The following is a 19,807-nucleotide window of genomic DNA, read 5'->3' on the forward strand; positions in this document are numbered from 1 at the left end:
TTGAGGGAGGGATCAATGACTCTAAGCCAGTTTTCTGGAACCTCCCTCAGGGTTCATAAAAGCCCCACTAGGGGAATGTCAATGGATGTGTCTGTTTTGGGGCTTGGAAAGTTTCAGTATAAGTTATGGGGATAACCTAGTGACACTGTATTCATACTACCGGATTGTGCATTTCCTCAAATTGACTTTAGGATGGCCAGGTCCAAACCAGCTCCCACTGATAGCCATGAGTGAAAGAGAAAATCAGATATCCCCCCAAGGAAGAACGCAGAGGAGCTCAGAGGTAGGAAGAACCCAGTACCACCCTGTGGCCCCTGTATGCTTAGGACAGAAAAGTATGAATAACCATAGTGTTCCATCTGGGACACTGTAAACAGTATGCTCTCACTTCTTTTTTCTACCTGAACAAGTATGCATGGTGTTCACATGAGCCTCCTTTGAGAGACCTACCATTTACTTTTTGCCCAAGTTTTTTCGACTATCCTCTTTTTGTCTTAACCACTTGAAGAGGTGATTCTCTTTCTCCTTTTCCTTCTTTTTGGGCCAGTCTTACGTCACTTTACAAACATGTTCTCCTCCCAGTCACAGGACTCCCCTGCTTCCCTCTTGGGGGCTGTATATGGATCTGAAATCCAGCACACACGTTCTGCTTGCCAAGCCATGTGCTGTGGCACGAGATGCATCTACCCGGAGAAAATTCACACGATGGGGCTGTCCCCTCACCAAGCTGCTGACCCTGAGTTGCAATCATTCAGAAAAAAAGGATGCCTTCTTCTAACTTGTAGAAAGATGCTGGACAGGCTACACGTGATCCTGTCAGTCTGGTTGAAGTTTAGTGTGGGCTTAAGGGAGGATTAGTAGAAACAAAGTAGATCCTATGTCAGAGTGCCTTGATCACCATGGTGGGATTTAGTGCTGAAGAATGTCATCATCACTAAACACTAAAATGGTTACTTTTTCTCTCTTTTTGCTGAGTTCACAGATTGAGCTTGAGGGAGTTCAAGGTGCATATGCTAAGATACTCCAGCACAAATCTTACTGGGTGGAAAGGTGAGGTAAATAATAGATGACGTCATGGATCCTGGAGGGCATCTTCTGCATAAAACATCCTCTGCCTGGGTCTATCACTATCTGTTCATTCTTTTGAGTTAAGGCAGTGTTTCCCGAATTAATGTGACAATTAGATTTATATAGACCAATTGTTTAAAATATAGATTCTCAGGCTCTACCCCAGAATTGAGTCAGAATCTTCAGGGGAGGCCTGGGATTCTGTATTTTTAACAAGCTTTTGAAGACATTCTTTTTTTTTTTTTTTTTTTTGAGACGGAGTCTCGCTCTGTTGCCCAGGCTGGAGTGCAGTGGCACAATCTCGGCTCACTGCAACCTCCACCTCCCGGGTTCAAGCAATTCTCCTGCCTCAGCCTCCCGAGTAGCTGAGATTACAGGCATGCACCACCACACCCAGCTAATTTTTGTATTTTTAGTAGAGACAGGGTTTCACCATGTTGGCCAGGCTGGTCTTGAACTCCTAACCTTGTGATCCGCCCACCTCGGCCTCCCAAAGTGCAGGGATTACAGGCGTGAGCCACCACGCCCGGCCTGCTTTTGAAGACATTCTTACGATCACGCAAGTTGGAAATTGCAAGACTAGGACATCTCCAATTTTAAAGTTCCTCGTAAATCAAGCACAGGAGAAGCAAGGGCATAGGTGGATGATGGTGGTAGTGGTTAGGTTAGATTTGCCTTTGTTAGGCACTAATGGTGTAGTAAGTGTTTCTTAAGTTTTACTGTAAAAAGAATTACTCCTTGGTTTTATTAAAAAGCAGGTTCTTGTAATTTCTCCTGTCTGTATTTCCACCCAACTCTCAGATCCTGATTTAGTGGATTTGGAGATTAGCCTGGGTATCTACATTAAAAAAAAAATCACAACTGATTGATTCTGATGTAAGTGGTTCTCAGGCCTCATTCTGAAAAACATTAGCTTATTTTCCATCTGTTTCTCAGATCATAGTCAGTTCTTCGAGGAGCTTTGAAGATGTGGGATGGAGGAGTTTTGATGGGGCTAAAGGGAGAGACGTATCTAGTACATACTTTGCTGGGACAGCCTTGCATGGCTGGATAAGTTCCCTGACATACTACATCCTCTGTGACAAGAGCTTATAAGTTTTAAGATGTAGTGGGTAAACCGTTAGAGGAAATTAGGATGGAAAGGAATACCCAGGTAACTAAGGAGGGGCTGAAATGTTTTCTCTCCCACCCCTGTCCTCTTCATTTGCAGAAGAAAGTATGAAATTAGCTCTGAGGCAACAAGAAAATGTGAACAGCACACTGAAGAGGGCGAAAGATGAAGTACGCCCTCTTCTAAAGGCAATGGAAACCAAGGTGAATGAGACAAAGAAGCACAAAACCCAAATGAAACTCTTCCCACACTCACAGCTTTTCAGGCAATGGGGCGAGGATCTTTCTGAGGCCCAGCAGAAGGCGGCCCAGGACCTCTTCCGGAAGTTTGGTTACAACGCGTACCTCAGCAACCAGCTGCCTCTCAATCGCACCATCCCCGACACGCGAGACTACAGGTGGGATGAACCAGGCTTGGGCTTCTAGGGTCCTCAGTTTGATTTGAGGATGAGCTTTGGGAGCAGTGAACATTGAAGGCTGGGGGAGTGGGGGATTGTTGGGGAAGGGGTTCAGGCTGAGCAAAGTTGTTGTTTTCAATTTATTTTATAATGACAGCTCAGAGAAGATAACCAACTGATCCAAATATTTACAGACCCTTGGGAAAGAACAGAAATGTCAGAGGAGCAGAGGTCCTTTGCAACTCTGATCCAGAGAAACAGAGATATGGTGGGTCTAACTGATAATTTTACAGATGAGGAAACTGAAGCTGAGAAGGGACTTGCGCAAGTCACACCAAAGCCAGTAGCTCTACCTCCTTTCCTAGGACTTTGCTCAAATTCTCTACTTGAATTCCTCTTTGCTGGTAAATCTAATTTGAAGAGCAATCCCTCTCCCTCTCCATCTGTTTCCCTTTGCTATTGTTTTTTTTTTCTCATTCTGTGTCTCCCACCCTCCTTCATAATACTTTTTTAGAAACAGCTTTGTTGAGATGTAATTCACATACCATGCAATTTATCCATTTAAAGTGTGCAATGTAATGTTTTTCAGTATATTCACAGAGTTATTTACTATTCCCACAATCAATTTTAAAACATTTTCATCACTTTAAAAAGAAACGGCTTTAGCAGGCCCTCCACATTTTCCTACAACTTCCTCATCCATAGGCAACCACCACTAATCTACTTTTTATCCCTATGGATTTGTCTGTTCCGGACCTTTTGTATTAATTGAATCAGGTAATATGGGGTCTTTTGTGACTAACATTTTTCACTTATCACAGTGTTTTCAAGTATCATTCACATTATAACACATATCAATACTTCGTTCCTTTTTATTGTTAAATAATATTTCATTGTCTGGATTATACCTACCGCATTTCCTTTATCCATTCATCAGGTGATGAACATTTGGATTGTTCCCACTTTTTGACCATTATGAATAATACTGCTGTGAACATTCATGTATAAGTTTTTGTGTGAACAAATGTCTTCTTTTCTTGTAGGTGTACCCGATGGGTAGAATTGCTGGGCCATATGATAATTCTGTATTTAGCCTTTCAAAGAACTGCCAGGTGGTTTTCCAAAGTGACTCCATCATTTAACATTCCCTCAAGCAGTATATGAGAGTTCTGATTTTTCCACATACTCACTAACATTTGTTATTATTTTTCTTTTTAACTATAGCCATCCTAGTGGGTCTGAAGTGGTATCTCATTGTGATTTTGTTTTAAATTTCCCTGAGGCCTAATAGTGTGGGACATCTTTTCATGTGCTATTGGCCATATGTATGTCTTCTTTGGAGAAATGTCTATTTGGAGACGTTCTTTTAAAAAAAAATTGGCTTATTTTTTTTTTTATTATTGAGTTGCAGAGTACTTTATATATCCTAGATACAAATTCCTATCAGAAATATCACTTGTTAATGATTTCTTTCATTGTGTAGATTGTCTGTTCACTTTCTTGATGGTCGTCTTTGAAACACAAGAGTTTTAAATCTTAATGATGTCCAATTTATCTATTTTCTCCTGGGTTGCTTGTACTTTTGGTGTTATATCTAAGAGACCTTGCTTGGTACAAGGTCGCAAAGGTTTACACCCATGTTTTCTTCTAAGAATTTTATAGTTTCAGTCTTAAATTTAGGTGTTTGGTCCATTTTAGTTTTTGTACATAATGTGACAAGGAGGGTCCAACTTCATTATTTTATGTGTAGCTATTCAGTTATCCTACTACCTTGGTTGAATAGACTACTCTTTCCACATCAGATTGTCCTGCCACCCTTATTGAAATCAATTGGTGATAAATGTAAGGGTTTATTTCTGGATATCAATCCTCTTTCGTTGCTGTATAGGCCTATCCTTATGCCAGGAACACATTGTCTTAACAATTGTAATTTTGTAGTACATTTTGAAATTGAAAATGTGAATCTTCCAACTTTCTTCTTCTTTCTCAAGACTGTTTTGTCTATTCTGGGACCTTGAATTTCCATATGAGTTTTAGGATTAGTTTGTCAATTTCTGCAAAGAAACCAGCAGGATTTTGACAGGGATTTCATTAACTCTGTAGCTCTGCAGATCTGTAGATTTGTGGAGGACTTCATTTAAAAATTAGATCTTCCAATCCACGGCTGTGAGAAATCTTTCCATTTATTTAGGTCTTTAATTTCTTTCAACAATGTTTTGAGTTTTCACAGTATAAGTTTGTTTATGTCTTTTGTTAAATTTATTCCTAGGTATTTGTCTTTTTGATGCTATTGGAAATGTGACTGTTTTTAAAAATATTTTATTTAAATTGGCAAAATTGTATATCTTATCATGTACAATATGATGTTTTGAAATGTATACACATCGTGGAATGGCTAATATATATCTAAATTAACATATGCATTACCTCACAATTATTTTCAGTGAGAATACTTAACATCTAGTCTCTTAGCAATTTTCAAGAATACCACATATTGCTATTGACAATAGTCACCATGTCGTACAATACAACTCTTGAACTTATTCCTCCTATCTAACTGAAATTTGTATCCTTTAACCAACATCTCTCTAACCCCTCTTCGCCCAGCCCCCACCCTGGCTCCTGGTAACCACCTTTCATTCTACTCTCTTTCTGTGAATTCAACTTTTTCAGATTCCACCTGTAAGTGAGATCATGTAGTATTTGTATTTCTGTTCCTTGCTTATTTTACTTAACATAATGTACTCCACATTTATCCATGTTGTCACAAAAGACAGAATTTCCTTCTTTTTTTGTGGCTGAATAGTATTCCATCTATTATGGAATAGTATTCCACTATTATGAATAATGCTCCAATGAAAATGGGAGTGCAGTCTCTCTTCAATATACTAATTCATTTCCTGTGGAGATATACCCAGTATAGGATTGCTAGATCATACAGTAGTTCCATTTTTAGTATTTGAGGAATCTCTATACTGTTTTCTTTATTGGGTGTACTAATTTACATTCCCACTAACTGTGCAATGGTTCTATTTTTTCCACATTATCGTCAATACTTGTTATCTTTTATTTTTTGATAGTAGCCATTCTAACAAGGGTGAGATGATAGTGCAATGTGAGTTTAATTTGCATTTTCCCTGATGGTTAATATATGGAACATTTTTTTCATAAAGCTCTTGGCCATTTATAGTCTTCTTTTGAGAAATGTTTGCTTAGGTCATTTGCTGATTTTTATTTTTCTCGTTATTGAGTTGTTTCTGTTCCTTATATATTTTGGATATTAACTTCTTATTAAATATATGGTTTGCAAATATTTCCTCTCATTCTGTAGGTTGTCTCTTCATTCTTTTGATTTTTTTCCTTGCTGTGTAGAAGATTTTTAGTTTGATGTAATGCTATTTGTCTATTTTTGTTTTTGTTGCCTGTGGCTTTGGGGTCTTATCCAAAAAGTCATTGCCCAAACCAATGTCCTGGAAAATTTTCTCTATTTTCTTTATAGGAGTTTTACAGTTCTGGGTTTTATATTTAAGTCTTTAATCTAGTTTCAGTTGATTTTGTATATGGTGTGAGATAGGGTTCAGTATTACTCTTTTTAAACGTGGGTATTCCGTTTTCCCAAAACCATTTATTGAAGAGGCAGTCCTCTTTCCATTGCGTTTTCTTGACATCTTTGTTGAAAATCAGTTGCTTATAAATGTGTGGATTTATATCTGTGTTCTATATTCTGTTCCACTACTCTATGTCTGTTTTTATGGCAGTATCATGCTGTTTTGATTACCATAGCTTAATATAGTATATTTTGAAGTCATGTAGTGTAATGTCTCCAGCTTTCTTCTTTTGGCTAAAGATTGCTTTGGCTATTCAGGATAATTTATGGTTCCATTTAGAACTTTTAGAGTTGTTTTTTCTATCTGTAAAAAAAGGTCTTTAGAATTTTGTTAGGGATTGAATTCAATCTGTAGATCACTATGGGAGGCATGAACATTTTAACAGTATTAATTCTTCCAACCCCTGAACCTGAGATGATTTTTCTTTTCTTTTTTTTTTTTTTTTGAGACGGAGTCTCTCTCTGTCGCCCAGCAATCTCGGCTCACTGCAAGCTCCACCTCCTGGGTTCATGCCATTCTCCTGCCTCAGCCTCTCCGAGTAGCTGGGACTACAGGCGCCCACCACCACGCCCAGCTAATTTTTTGTATTTTTAGTAGAGACGGGGTTTCACCATGGTCTCTATCTCCTGACCTTGTGATCTGCCTGCCTCGGCCTCCCAAAGTGCTGGGATTACAAGCGTGAGCCACCGCCCCCGGCCTGAGATGATTTTTCATTTATTTGTGTTTCTTTAATTTCATTCACCAGTATTTTAAAGTTTTCTATGTAGATATCTTTCACCTCCTTGGTTAAATGTATTCATAAGTATTAAGTGTTTGTATAGCTATCATATATAGAATTGCTTGATTTCCTTTTTCGACAGTTTGCTGTCAGTGTATAGTAAGGCTACTGATTTTTGTATGTTGATTTTGCAACTTTACTGAATTTGTTTATTAGTTTTAACCATTTGTAGTGGGTTCTTTAGGGCTTTATATATATAGATCATGTCATCTGCAAACAGGGACAATCTACACTTCTTTCCCAATTTTGATGCCTTTTATTTCTTTCTCTTGCCTGATTGCTCTCGCTAGGACTTCTAGAAGCATGTTGAATACAAATGTGAGAGCGAGCATTCTTGTCTTGTTCCTGACCTTAGAGGAAAAGCTCTCAATTTTTCCTCATTGAGTATGATGTTAGCTGTGGGTTTGTCATATGACCTTTATTGTATTGAAGGTACAATTCTTCTATACCTAATTAGTTGAGATTTTTTATCATGAAAAAATGTTGAGTTTTTGTTAAGTGATTTTTCGCATCTATTGAGATGATCATATAGTTTTTGTCCTTCATTCTGTTAATGTGGTTTATTACATATAGAGATTTGTGTATGTTGGACTATCTTTGCATCGCATCCCTGAAATAAATCTCACTTCATCATGCCATGTTGGCCAGGCTAATTAGTCCTGCTGTGAACAGGACCACCTGCACAATTTGCAGAGCCCAGTGCAAAATGAAAATGAGGGACCTTCATTAAAAAATAATTAAGAATTTCAGGATGATAAAAGTAATGAATGAAATCAATAGGGGAGACCTATGTGTGGGGTCCTGTGTGACTGCACAGGTTGCATACCATAAAGCTGGCCCTCCCAATGTAATATATATTCTCACATTGGGATTTTCTAAGGGAAATTATGTGGCTGGCATAATTTGCCTTAGAAAATCCCAATGTAAGAATACATATTTTGTGATTGGTTAAAGCCTGTTTGCATGTATACAAATTAGTTTATGTGTTCCACACGACAGTAGTTTCAGGCAAAATTGTGATATGAATAAAGTTTATCTTTCCAGCTGTAGCACATAGAACTTACCTTATGTCCTTAAGCCATTGTTCTCTCCCATTGCTTGAGATGGTACACTGTGATTCTCCACCGGGAGGAGTGGCTAGAGATCTGTTCCTCTAGATGTCATCCAACCAACAAACACTTTTTCAGTATCTTCTGCTGCACTGTTCAATATGATAGCTACTAGTCACACATGGCTACTTAAATGTAAATTAATTAAAATTATTTGCTTGAGGTGGTACACTGTGATTCTCTGCCGGGAGGAGTGGCTAGAGATCTGTTCCTCTAGATGTCATCCAACCAACAAACACTTTTTCAGTATCTTCTGCTGCACTGTTCAATATGATAGCTACTAGTCACACATGGCTACTTAAATGTAAATTAATTAAAATTATTTGCTTGAGGTGGTACACTGTGATTCTCTGCTGGGAGGAGTGGCTAGAGATCTGTTCCTCTAGATGTCATCCAACCAACAAACACTTTTTCAGTATCTTCTGCTGCACCGTTCAGTATGATAGCTACTAGTCACACATGGCTACTTAAATGTAAATTAATTAAAATTATTTGCTTGAGGTGGTACACTGTGATTCTCTGCTGGGAGGAGTGGCTAGAGATCTGTTCCTCTAGATGTCATCCAACCAACAAACACTTTTTCAGTATCTTCTGCTGCACCGTTCAGTATGATAGCTACTAGTCACACATGGCTACTTAAATGTAAATTAATTAAAATTATTTGCTTGAGGTGGTACACTGTGATTCTCTGCTGGGAGGAGTGGCTAGAGATCTGTTCCTCTAGATGTCATCCAACCAACAAATACTTTTTCAGTATCTTCTGCTGCAATGTTCAATATGATAGCTACTAGTCACATATGGCTACTTAAATGTAAATTAATTAAAATTCAATTAAGCATTTAGGTTTTGGTTACATTAGCCGTATTATAAGTGCTTGATAGGCACATGTGGCTAGTAGCTATCGTTATGTATAGGATAGATATAAAACATTTCGTCATTGCAGAAAATTCTACTGGACAGTGCTGGTCTACACATTCCAGGCCAGGTACTGGTGATGCAGGGAGGAGGGAGAGATTATTCTTTTGGAACCACGGGAGGCACATTTCCTACCTCTTTTGATTGATATACGGTGGGTAAGAAAATGTGGGTACGGATAAGAGAAGTGTCGTGAAAGCATTTCAAATATAGCCAAGAATATGCAAAAGATGCACAGGAAACAGGGCAGAGGAGAGAAAATCTGAAGTCACTGATGTGATTATGTGGATTAGAGGAAAGAGAAGTTCAGCAGAATTTTAATCAGTCTTCCATTTAACATAATCACCTATTCTTACTCACAATTAAATACAGATTTATTGTATAACCATCCCGTACCAGACATTAAGAACTGCCACTAGGCTTTAAAGAATTTAAAGTTCATCTCTGCCAGGCTCCTCTGCCTGTGCTTTAAATATTCATCATCCTCAGGCTTTAGTCCAAGGCTCGTTTCTGCTGGTAGTTAAGGTGATTTTATCCACTTACGAATTCGCCACTTACATGGCAGTGACTCCCGAATCCACAGGACTGTAATCCAGACTGTTCTTCTGAGGCTCCAGGGCCATATATGTAGTGACCTACCAGGGAATTCCATGGGGTGACTCAGAGGCATCTCAGACTCCACATGGCCAAACCTAAGCTGATCCACTTCTTTTTCTCCTCTTATTGCTCCTAGCTCAGTGAATGTTGCCATTGTCTACGTAATAATGACAACAAGAACAAAAATAACCAGCAAAGTGGTAAGAATAGCAGATAACCTTTATGGAGCTTCTTTTACTCTGAGCCCTTATGCACATTACCACATTTGAACCTCATAATAATACTATGATGTGAGGATTACTCCTTCTCCTCCTACTATTACTACCAATACTACTGCTACTAACCACCACCCTCACCGTCTTATAAATAAGGAAAGGAAGAGAAGCACAAAAAGATCATGCAGATAGAAAGTGACAGCTGTGACTCGAGTGAACACAGGTCTTTCTGGAGACTCTGCTCCTACTCTTACTGTACCACCCTCTTACAGCATTGGTATCACTTGGGAGCCTGGAAGAAATTCAGGATCTCAGACCCCGCTCAGACCTACTGATGAGAGGCTGCACTTTAACAAGATCCCCAAGTGATTTGTGTGCGGGTATTGCTAGAATCTGAGAATTTTTTTGTGGTCTAGTATTGCCCCTTCAACTTCCACCTGCCCACCACATTTGAATAATGAATGAGATGAGGAAATCAGATTGAAAGTATCTTCCTTTCGCTTCTTTCTTTCTCCAGGGTTGGCCTTAGGTGAGGTCTTCACACCCTCCCACCTGTATTATGGCGTCCACATGTGGCTGATTACCTTCTGTTGTCCTCATGGCAGCCTGAATGGTTTCTTTAAAATGTTAATTTGGTCATACCAATCCTTTGCTTAAAACCCTTTAGTCCCTCTAGGATGAAGTCCAGTCTTCCTAGCTTCCAATGTCCAGCCCCTCTGGTCTGTCCGTCCTCATATCTCTTGGCACTACTACTAAGCAGGGCAGTTCTCCAAGGAGTGTGTGCTTTTTTGTGTCCCTGGCATTCACCTGCATTTTGGCTTTTGCCTAAAATTCCCTTGCAGTTTCAGAGGGTGCAATTCAAATGCCTGCCAACATACATGTTGTGAGCATTTTGGGTGAGGGCGATGGTGAACGGGTGAACAGTGAGCTACGCTGTGAGTAACTGCAGCAACCCTGGCCCTGGACAGAGCAGGGGCTATCTGCTGGAAAAGTGGTTGCAGTGAGATAAATATTTGCTTTGTCAGAGAGACAAGAAATCTGGATTTGTATGTTGGCAACTACTTGAAGTTTTTAAAAAATGTGTGGATTGAGGCTTCCTTCCAGAATGGCAAAGTGTTGAGTGCAACATTTTCTTTCCCTAGCAAAACAACTATTTGACTGGAGAAAATTATAATTATTTAAATTTTTTTTTACAAACTGTCCTAAGGAAATATGCAAATGGAAAAACATTCTTTCAAGAAAATCTACTAAATATCCTTCAGAACAGCAGGAGTCTGTGGCATTGGAGCCGTGACTTGTTCCCCCTACCCACCGTCAGCACTGTCTTATGGAAACTTCTCAAGGTTATCTGCTCTGGTGGCTGTGGTCAAGAAGTGGGCTCCCTGTCCCTGCAGGTCCTAGCATACATAGGTCCTTGGTATCACCCCAGGAAGGGCAGGCCACCCACATTTCACACCTTCTCCTTCCTCCACTAGGAATGCAAAAGCTCTATGCCTAGTGGAGGTGATTGAGAGAGACAATTGTGACTCCCTTCTTCTACTTTGCCTCTACTCATAGGGTGAAATTTCAACTCCAGGTGCATGAGTCCCAAGAACACGGGGCTCCAGTTGCCCCTTCTCCAACTTGCTGTCAGAGTGGAAGTTCCATACCAGAATGCACAAGCTAGGAAGACCAGGAGCTCCAGGGGGCTGCCACCTCCTTCCCCCCAGCCCACGTCTACCTGTAGAGCAGGGTGTCATTCTAGAAGTGGGCTTCTGTCTCCACCTCCAGCTTCTGTGCAGTGGTGCAGAAGTTCTGTTCGGAGGAAAGGCAGGATGAAAACCTCCCCAGCTGTATTTAAGGGACTGACCTTATTTAGAAGAGAGGATAAAGAATTCCAGCTCAATGATGTTGTCTGAAACAACAGAGATCTTGGTGGAGAAAATTAAAGAGTATGCTCATAGCTCCATAATACTAGTAGCAACAAGCAAAATGGCAGAACAACCAGAAATTTAACAGGAAGAATCAGGGAAAAAGATTGCCAAGAAGAGCCCTCCTTGGATCACACTTATCTCTGGGTCATCTAGAAGTTTGTGTGCAAGCCCCAGGCTGAACCTGCTCAGGAACAGGAAGACTGAAAATCATTTGCCAACCAGAACACAGATCCATCAGCAAACAGCTGAAGCCCCACCAGCACTAGGGGCTTAGGGCCAACCTCTGAACAAATACTGCTTGAACAATAAACTACTCTGACTCAGAGGCAACTACTAGGAAGCCAGGATTAAAAATAAAATCATGCACATCCCTGGTAATCTGGAAGACTATGTGCATACCTAAGGCTGTGCTCTCTCAGGAGTTACCACAGAGAAGAAAATCCAAGCTACCAGTATGTGGGTCAAAACGTAAACTCCCTGAATTGTGATTGCAGCCTCCATGCCACATATATCAAGGAATCTAATCAACCAAGGAGGTTTAAATCCAATCTCTGATGAATAAGTGGCTTATGATGACCCAGAAGCAACCCCTGGGTAGCCAGGCTAAAAGAGAAAAACAAGAAGAGAAAAGAAAAAAAAAAAAAAGATCAAGATCATGAGCATTAAAGGCTGAACACTGCAGGAGAAATAGATTTTGTAGACTCTGCAAATTAGTTTAACTAGGTTACCAATTGAATAAATAAACAACGAAGCAAATTACAATGACATCTACTCCTGGGTTATATACAGAGTTACTAGATGCTTTGTCTAAAATGATAAGTTTTTAATAAGAAATTATGAGACATACAAAGATACAGGAAAGGGTAATAACTCGTGCACAAGAGAAAACAAAGCAACAGACTTTAGAAGGGGCCCAGATATTGGACTTATCTGGTAATGACTTCAAAGACATCATTATAAATATATTCAAAGCACTAAAGTTAGCCATGTCTAAAGCATTAAAGGAAGGTTATAATGACAATGTCTCATCAAATAGAAACTATCAATAAAGACTTATACATTATAAAGAGGTTCCAAATGATCCTTCTAAAACTAAAAAGTACAATAATAAAAATGAAGAGTTCGACTTTCATTTTCTGGTCTGGCTTTTAAGGAGCTTAGAAGTCCCCACTGTATCCTAACAACAAGTAAAAAGCTGAAAAAATGGAAAAATAAACTCTTCTCAGCTCTTTTAGAGAAGTGACATGGCAGGGCAAACTGCTTCCCCCAAAATTGGAGAGACAGACAGGTGGATACAGAGAATCACAACTTTACCAGAGCAGAAACCCTGGGAACCAGTGCTAGGATAGGAAAACCTGAACTGTAAATTGGTGAATTGTGGACAAGTCTGAGAATTAAACACTCCAGGAAGACCCAGTCAGAGAGCTTCTACACCTGTGTACATTTTACCCCCAGGACCTCTACCAGATCCTCACAGTAAATATCAGAGAAAAATCTCCTCCTGCCTCTGGGAGGGAGGAGAGAAGAGGTGAAAAGGAATCATTTTGAAATATGCCAGATTATTCTGTTTTTCTTAACAAGGTCTGCCTGAAAGAGAAACTATTTTACCAGAGCCTAACCTGCTGGAGTTTTGTGATAGCCTAACTGCTGTGGTTTGAATGTTTGTCTTCTCTGAAACTCATGTTAAAATGTATTTGCCATTGCGACAGTATGGGGAGGTGGGACCCTGAAGAGGTGTTTAGGTCGTGAAGGCTCTGCTCTGGTGAATAGGCAAATGCTCTTAGCACGTCATTATCATGAGAGGGGGTTTGTTATCATGGGACTGGGCTCTTGTTCTTTTCATCCTCTCTTTGTTCATTCTGCTGTGTGATACCTTCTGCCATGTTATAATGCAGCATGAAGCCCCTCACCAGAGGCCAGCACCTTGACATTAGACTTACTAGCCTCCAGAACCAGGAGCCAATAAGTTTCTATTCATTATAAGTTACCCAGTCTCAGGTATACTGTTATAGCTGCACAAAATGGACTGACACTAACCTACCTGGGAGAAGGGGAACATTCAACTCTAGCCTGCTTTAGCTTTCTACATGGTGGAATGAAAATACCCAACTTTAGCTCCCTCTATCCTTTTACATGGGGGAAAATATTTACACTTAAATTTATGATCAACTGATTCTTGACAAGGGTGCTAAGACCATGTAATGGGAGAGAGAATAGTCTCTTCAACAAATGGGTGCTGAGACAAGTGGATATCTAGATGCAAAATAATAAAGTTGGATCCCTCATCACACCATACACAAATATTTACACAAAATGGTCATAGATGTAAATATAAGAGATAAAACTATAAAACTCTTAGAAAAAAATGACAGCAAATCTTGGGAGATAGGGGTTGGCAAGAGTTTCTTAGGTATGACACCAAAAGCATAGGTGAAACAAGATTGAAAAGTTGAACTTTATCAAAACTAACTTTGTTTTTCCTGAAATAATACCATCCAGAAAGTGCAAAGACTGCCCATGGAGTGGGAGAAAATATTTGCAAACCATACATCTGATAAGAAGTCTAGAATATATAAAGAATGCTTACAAAACTCAATAATAAAGAAATTAAAAATGGGCAAACATATAGAAAAAACTTTTGGAGCTGATAGATACGTTTATTACCTTGATTATGATATTGTGGGTGCGTGCCTATGTGCAGTTTGTATATATCAACTAAACCCCAAAAAAGCTATAAAAAGGGTAAACCAGTGCCTACCATATGGTAAGCATTTAGTAAATATAGGCTAGTTTGCCACCTGTCTCTGGTGGTGAAGTAGAGGGTGTGTCAAAGGTGACTGGGGTCTGAGAACATGGGAAAAGGGCTGTGGCAATGACAAGAAGAAGGCTGCCAGCAAGGAAACTAATCCGGGTGTAGAAGAGGAACGGGAATTCCTTTTGAAGTATGTTGAATGTTCCAATGGAAACATCTAGCAAAGATTAATAAAAAAAGATTTTATCCCCATAACAGGAGAATTTTGGATAAATGAATATAAAATCTTGCTACTGTGATAAGCCACTAAGAGTTTTGCTTTCCAGTGAGTTTGAGGGGTGGATGAATTGGTCGATATAACATCATACAGAGTGAAAGGAAAGATTGGATAGCAGTGTTGAAGTAATTAAAAAAAAATAATATGTTATAAAAATGGTCTCTTATAGATGTCTTCGGAAGACATATCCTTCCCAACTCCCATCCCTCAGTGTCATTCTCATATTCGTGAATGAAGCTCTGTCCATTATACAACGGGCCATCACCAGTATCATCAACCGGACGCCCTCTCGATTGTTGAAGGAAATCATCTTGGTGGATGATTTCAGCTCAAATGGTGAGCAACGTGATCAAAGAATAATTGTAAAAATGACCACTTATCATCTGTGCTTGGCTGGAAAGAGGTTTTGGCTTAGAGTTTAGGACACCTTGGGTTTCTCATGTAGGGAAAATAAAAAGATCATTTGTTAAGGGTCTATTTGTGCTAGCCACATTTAATCTTCACAAAGTCAAGACAGAGGATAATTATCTCTACATGGATGAGGAAACTGAGACACAAAGAGATCACACAGTGTGCTTAAATTGGGCTGCAACCCAGTGGCAGAGGTGGGAGTTAGGCCAGGAGCGTGTACCTCCAAATCTACCTGTACCTCTTTTTTTTTTTTTCTTTTTCTTTTTCTTTTTTTTTTTGAGATGGAGTCTTGGTCTGTCACTCAGGCTAGAGTGCAGTGGTGGGATCTCGGCTCACTGCAAGCTCTGCCTACTGGGTCCGCGCCATTCTCCTGCCTCAGCCTCCCGAGTAGCTGGGACTACAGGCACCTACCACCTCACCCAGCTTATTTTTTTGTATTTTTTTAGTAGAGACGAGATTTCACCATGTTAGCCATGATGGTCTCGATCTCCTGACCTCGTGATCCGCCCGCCTCGGCCTCTGAAAGTGCTGAGATTACAGGCGTGAGCCACTGTGCCCGGCCACCTGTGCCCCTCTTATGCACCATGAAGAAGCCTGGGGGCTGAAGCAGAGTCTAGAGAAGGACTCCAGATACCAGGAAGGGACTTAGAGTTGCTCCTTATGAGGAACAGATCACTCTCCCTGGGTCATTAAGCCTGGAGAAAAGAGAGATTTGGGTGCTGACTCTTCATAGTGGCAACAGCTCTTGCCCACAGGGTGCCCGTGCCCCGAGTCTAGCCCACCCAAGGAAGAGATGTGGAAGATAACAGACCTGAGTCCTCACTTTCTGAGTTCATAATCCCGGCTTCTCCTTTGTAAGTGTTAGGTCCTTGGGTAACTCAACGTCTTCATATTCTGATTTTCTTGTACACAAAATATGGATGTTGATAATAATAACCATTTTATGAACTATAGTGAGAATTAAATGAGATCATAATGGCAGCTAACATTGCTTGTTCTAAGCACCTTACGTGTGTTAACTTTTTTTTTTTTTTTTGAGATGGAGTTTCAGTCTTATCATCCAGGCTGGAGTGCAGTGGTGGGATCTCAGCGCACTGCAGCCTCCACCTCCCGGGTTCAAGCAATTCTTCTGCCTCAGCCTCCTGAGTACCTGGGATTATAGGAGTATGCCACCACACCCAGCTGATTTTTGTATTTTTAGTAGAGATGGGGTTTCACCATGTTGGCCAAGCTGGCCTTGAACTCCTGATCTCAGATGGTTTGCCTGCCTCGGCCTCTCAAAGTGCTGGGATTACAGGTGTGAGCCACAGTGCCCAGCCATGTTAACTATTTTAATCATTACAACAACCCTATGAGGAAGGAATCACTTTTTGACCCATTGTGTAGATGTGCAAAACTAAGGCATAGACTGATCAAGGAACTTGTTCAACATCCTACAGCTGGTAAGTGACAGAACTGAGATTTGACCATGAACTTCAGAGTCCAGAGCCCTGGTTCTAACCACTGTGTTCCCGTTATAATACATGAATTATGTAACGCATTTTGCACATGGTAGCCTCTCAGCAATTGTTGGCTCTTAGTTTTATTAATTTTGTGCAACAAATAAAAGAGAGTAGAATTAAGTTACAAAAACTTAGAGGTTTGGTCTAGCAGTAAGGAAGAATTTCTTGACTATAAGGGCTATGAAGTGGCAGCTCATTGGAGGCAGAATATGTTCCTTCTCTGAGGATCTTTAAGTACCAGATAGGTTATTGTACCTTCCTGAGAGAGCAAACAAAATGACTGCTTAAACCTTCTTTTTTAGACTTCCACACTAAAAATACTTATATTCATCCTTTGCATACCTTCCTCTTTTTTTATTTCCAATGTAACTAAACAAAAAATAAGAAGGTACAATTTTTAGAGCAAAATTCCGCTGAAAACCAAAGAAAAGAGACTAGTTTCATTCATTTCTGGGCATGGAGACTGGTACTGAATTGCACACCTGGTTTTCTGCCCCAAAAATAGGAGCATGATTAGAAAGACCTCTGCCTTGGACTTCTGAAAACACTCTGGCTCTGCTCCCTGCCTGAGACAACGTCAGGCAAGTCCCCTCACCTCTTTGGGACTCAGGGTCTTCATGAGGCAAAGACAAGAGTTGAGCTGGAATATTGTGAAAGATATCTTTTTCTGTGGAAAAAAAAAAAGTCAATACTATACTCTATGGCCTATACGCTATGTTCCATGGGGTGTAGATAAGACTTAATTCAGGATTTTTTCCTGTGGAACAATGCAATAAAAAAATACAAGATTACAAACACGGGGTAGACACATAAAGAAAAACCAAAGCTTTCTTATTGCTCTAAGCTGCACTCCATTGTAACACATTCCTCTCATTTAGGTCTGAAACCCACGTTTGTTTTTCACAGAGATGATTTGTTTGGATGGTCACAGAAAAGGGGACTGTCAGCCATTCTTTGGTGTTACAGGGACAGGAATTAGAGAGTCTCTGTCATTAACCACGAAAACACCAGCCAAATTGAGCCTACACTGAGCATAACTCAAATATCTGTTTTATGTTAAACAGGAGAATAAATGGAAGTCTCTACCATGTCTACTGAAAGAGAAACTCACTATCCATGTGAATTTGGGGGCAAGTGACTCAACCACTTCTCACCTCAGTTTCTGCATCTGTAACATCAGGGAATAATGGTGCCTACCTGATAGGACCACTTTTGGGATTAAATAATACGTGTAAAGGCCTCAGGAGAGAGCCTGTTCCCATTACATGCTAGCTAGTGTTCTGCTCCTCACCTATCTCAGTGTTATTTGTAGTACTTTTGAAATGCCACAACCTGGTGCCAGAGGTTTGCCTCCTTTCTGTCTTTCCCTAGATGTTAAGCTTTATTCACATCACTCAAATATTTTGAGCTTAAATGTTAAATGTCACTCAAATGTTATGTGAGATGTAAGCTTTTTAAAAATTATATCAAGGTAGGTGGAATGCTGTATTTTCTCCCTAATTTTAGGAAAATTTCACAATCAACAACTACATGTTGAGTTTCTACCATGTGCTAGCCACTGGGCAGGGAGGAGGATGTCAGAGAGTTCAAGTTTCCTTCTTAATTAATGAGGCAAGACACATCTGTGGAAAGATACCTTAATGTGTGAAGAATAACGTGACAAACCGAGTGAACCGTCAGTGAGCAAAAGAAAGCACGGTGTGGGGGTGTGGGGTGTGGTGATCTAAGGAGGGTTCCTGGAGGAGGCAGGCTCGGATTGGGACTTGAAGGCGTCATAGGATTTGAGACAGCAGAGAAAATGAGGGAAGACTGGGAAACTGGGTCGGGGTGGAGAGCTAGGGAGCGCCGAAGGAATGGTGTGAACAAAAGTGAGGAATCCGGAAGCGCCCTGAGCTGACCAGCCTGGGATAGCAGGCTTTGGGGAGGAGACCGGTAGGAGGGCAAAGCTGGGAAGGGAGCATAGGTTGTCTTCAGAAAACCCGTCGAGGCGTCCTTAATCTTTGTGCTATATGATAGGCATTATTTTTCAGGAGGTGACTCAGAATCTATGGCTCATAAAAATTTGGAGTTGGAAGGGTCCTGACTATTTGGTACTTTTCTTGAAATTTTTAATATTTGTTTTTCTAAAAAAGAGACAGTCTCACTCTGTTGCCGAGGCTGGCCTCAATCGCCTGGGCTTAAGCACTGATCTGCCTCAGGCTCCCAAAGTGCTGGGATTACAGGCATGAGCCACCATGCCCACTATGGTACTTTTCTCTAGGTTGAGGAATCAGACACATCCAATGGGAAGTGACACAGGATGATGTAGTGACTGAATTAGAATCTAGATATTCAGGTTCAGTGGCGCCTCCTGTGGATTACTGACTAAAAGTAGTGCCTGGGTAAGTGTACAGACTGGCAACCTTGGCTACCCCAGCTTACTCCCAGAGGAAGCAAACAGCCTTAGACGTACTGGCCCTGCTTAGCACCTTCAATAATTGAGACAATTACTCTTGAGTGCAGCAGATCTAAAATGGGGTAAATTTTACTGCCATAGTCACTTAGGTGTTGATTCCAGGTCTTGATCACTCTAGGTCTCACAAATATGCTCGTCTTTTGAGAGAGGAACTGGCAAGAATCTCGTTCCTTGGCTATGGGGAGAGAGGAGAGGGAGGGAGGACTTGGTAAACCCAACCAGGTACTCACAGAGTTCTTGAGACACGGTGTTCTGGTGGCTAAACACAGCATAGGTTCACATCCAGGGCGTGCCACTTACTAGATATGTGACTTGGAAAAGTTTTTAAAACTCTTTGTGCCTCAGTTTCTTTATCTGTAAAGTGGGGATATTGTAGTGCCTACCACATGAGATACTTTCAGAATTAACTGAATTAATTTTATCAATGAGTAACTCAGAGTCATTTGGTTAGATATTTTGCATACTGCTAAGTGATTTGCCTGCAAGTGGTTTACTTACACGTGAGGAAGTCAGTGGTAGGCTGAGCCCAAGAACAAAGCCATAGACAAGCTTTATTAAAAGAGAGGGAAGAGAGGGAAGAAAACTACCTGTAAACAATCTAGGAATAGTGAATCTTGTTTGCATAATTTTTGGGCTAAATTTACTAGCTAGAAGCTGGCAAAGAGATTAATCTGTGCATTCTGTCCCAGTTGGTCCTTA

At 40.4% G+C, this 19,807-nt stretch overlaps 1 protein-coding gene and 1 long non-coding RNA gene across 3 annotated transcripts in view; one reads left to right on the top strand and one right to left on the bottom strand.

Annotated features, from left to right (window-relative positions):
- GALNT8 (polypeptide N-acetylgalactosaminyltransferase 8) overlaps positions 1-19,807 on the top strand; it is a 52,327-nt gene that overhangs the window by 3,854 nt on the left and 28,666 nt on the right. The window contains exons 2-3 of the mRNA NM_017417.2: positions 2,279-2,576; positions 14,910-15,076. Coding sequence (NP_059113.1) covers positions 2,279-2,576; positions 14,910-15,076 — 465 coding nt within the window. The remainder of the gene's footprint in view (positions 1-2,278; positions 2,577-14,909; positions 15,077-19,807) is intronic.
- LOC124902863 (uncharacterized) lies at positions 9,343-14,903 on the bottom strand. 2 transcript variants are annotated; one of them, XR_007063176.1, is made up of 2 exons: positions 11,519-14,903; positions 9,343-9,621 (listed from the first exon to the last, which is right to left on the bottom strand). It is a non-coding gene; the product is annotated as an uncharacterized LOC124902863 (long non-coding RNA). The 2 variants fall into 2 exon arrangements; XR_007063175.1 differs by having other exon boundaries at positions 10,383-14,903.

The sequence above is a fragment of the Homo sapiens genome, chromosome 12, assembly GCF_000001405.40.
Source record: "Homo sapiens chromosome 12, GRCh38.p14 Primary Assembly".
NCBI classification, from domain to species: domain Eukaryota; kingdom Metazoa; phylum Chordata; class Mammalia; order Primates; family Hominidae; genus Homo; species Homo sapiens.